The 2,257-nt window shown below is 33.7% G+C and overlaps 1 annotated feature.

The window, feature by feature from the left end:
• Nucleotides 856-1,377: an enhancer, noted in NCBI's record as "NANOG hESC enhancer chr9:93013531-93014052 (GRCh37/hg19 assembly coordinates)". NCBI's record gives its function as "activates a minimal SCP1, AML or CMV promoter by ChIP-STARR-seq in naive H9 embryonic stem cells {active_cell/tissue: H9 hESC(naive)}" and the evidence as "EXISTENCE:reporter gene assay evidence [ECO:0000049][PMID:30033119]".

Here is a 2,257-nt window from a genome sequence, read left to right on the forward strand (position 1 = left end):
TGATCAGAAAAATTGCAGGCCTGAAATTGAGGTTTTTGAAAGTTATTGACTGATTTAGTAGTTAGTAGTTAGTAGCTCTGAAGATAGAATATATATTTGGCCTTAAGAAAATTGAGGTATTGAGATGCAGGTTTGTTGACTTGAATGGATCCTCCACATGAGAATTAAATGACCAGACATAATGACAAAAGAATGTGTAAGATGAAAGATAATGTACCGGGCACAGTGACTCATGCCTGTAATCCCAGCACTTTGGGAGGCCGAGGTGGGTGGATCATGAGGTCAGGAGTTCGAGACCAGCCTGGCCAATATGGTGAAACCCGTCTCTACTAAAAAATACGAAAATTAGCCAGGTGTGGTGCTGCGTGCTTGTAGTCCCAGCTACTTGGGAGGCTGAGACAGGAGAATCCCTGGAACCCGGGAGGCGGAGGTTGCAGTGAGCCAAGATTACACCATTGCACCCCAGCCTGGGCAACAGAGTGAGACTCCAGCTCAAAAAAAAAAAAAAAAAGAAAAGAAAGATAATGCCACCTCTAGAAAATATAATCTTCCACAGATACTATGAGATTCATCAAAATCTACATGCACCCTACTTTTTGGTCCTATGGATATGTATGCCATTGTTATGCATATGCTGTATAGGTACTTTCATACTTAATTTTTCTAAGCTACCTTTTTATTGTGTACTTCATAAGAACAAGATATTGTATATGAGTAATAATCTGTAAAGGAAAGGAAGTGACAAAAACACCAGTGTATTCACCATTCAGCTGAAGAAATGGGTTATTACCAATAGTTTCGGAGCTCCTTGAAGGATGTGCTCATACCCCATCGTCTTCCTCCACATAACAGGGAAACCACACTCTTACAGTTTAAGTCTATTATACTTTTGTCATATATCCTCAAACAAACTGATTTGATTTGCTTACTTCTTGTTTAATTGTAAACAAAAAGTGTGGATTCACAGCACATGTATTCTTCTGAAATTGTTTTTTTGTTTGGCTCTTTATGTTTGAGAGATCCATTCATGTTGGTGTGTGTACTTCAAATAGTTCATCTTCATTGATGCATGATTCCATTAGTTGTGCACACCACTATTTAGTCATTGTCTGTCACAGACAAAGGCCATTCTAGTACCTTGAAGTGGTTATTCATTGTAATGTTAATTGTTGTCTTACTGATGACTAATGATGTTGATTATATTGTGAAATGTCTGTTTAAGATTTTTGCCCACACTTCCCCCTGCCTTTTTTTTTTCAGTTGGGTTGTTTTTAATTTGATTATTGCTTTATAAGAATATATTTTCTGGATGCAATTCCTAGTGCATGTATGTATTGCAAGTATTTTCTCCAACTCTTTGGTTTGTATTTCAATTCTTTCAATGATGATTTTTTTGATGAGCAGTAATTTTTAATTTTATTAAATTCTATTATATTTAATGTTATGATTAGTGTTTTTTATCATCTGAGAAATCCTTAATTCATAAAAGATTGCAAAGCAATATTTTAAATTCTATTTTTAATGTCATGATTAGTGTTTTCTCATCTGAGAAATCTTTACTTCATAAAAGATTACAAAGTTATATTTTCTATTTTTTAACAACTGTATATTTTTTGATTTAACATTTAATCTATGATTGATCTGAAGTTATCTTTGGTTTTTAGTTTAAGGTTCTTTTGTTCCTTGTGGATATCTAATTTTTCCAGCATGAGTTTTTGAAAATATTTTTCTCTTTTAGTTAGCTAGCTTGTCATATTTGTTGAAAATCTAGTCATTGCACATGTGTAGACTTATAGGGTTTCTGTAAAATTTTGACATGTATAATTATTTTATCATGTATAGTTATGGAGTACTAATTTATTATATGTTTACTTATTTTTCCAAGACTTGCTGGCTATCCTGTATATCTCAATTTTCTATTCTATTCTGTTGACCTACTTGCCTATCCTTTCACCAGTGCCACACTGTCATGGTTGCTTTATCATTACAGTAAGTCTGAACTCAGGTAGTGCATATTCTCCAACTTTGTTCTTACTTTTCAAGATTGTCTTGGCTATTCTAGGTCATTTGCAATACAAATTTGTATATCAGTTTGCCAATTTCTACCAAAAAATGCCTACTGTGAAGAATCTATTGATTGATTTGGGGTGATTGAAACCCCAATTATCATTGAAACCCCTGTTAATAATGTTGTATCTTCCAAACTAGAAACATACTATATCTTTCCATTTATGTGTCTTTAATGTCTCTGAACAAT

The sequence above is a fragment of the Homo sapiens genome, chromosome 9, assembly GCF_000001405.40.
Source record: "Homo sapiens chromosome 9, GRCh38.p14 Primary Assembly".
In the NCBI taxonomy this organism is placed as follows: Eukaryota; Metazoa; Chordata; class Mammalia; order Primates; family Hominidae; genus Homo; species Homo sapiens.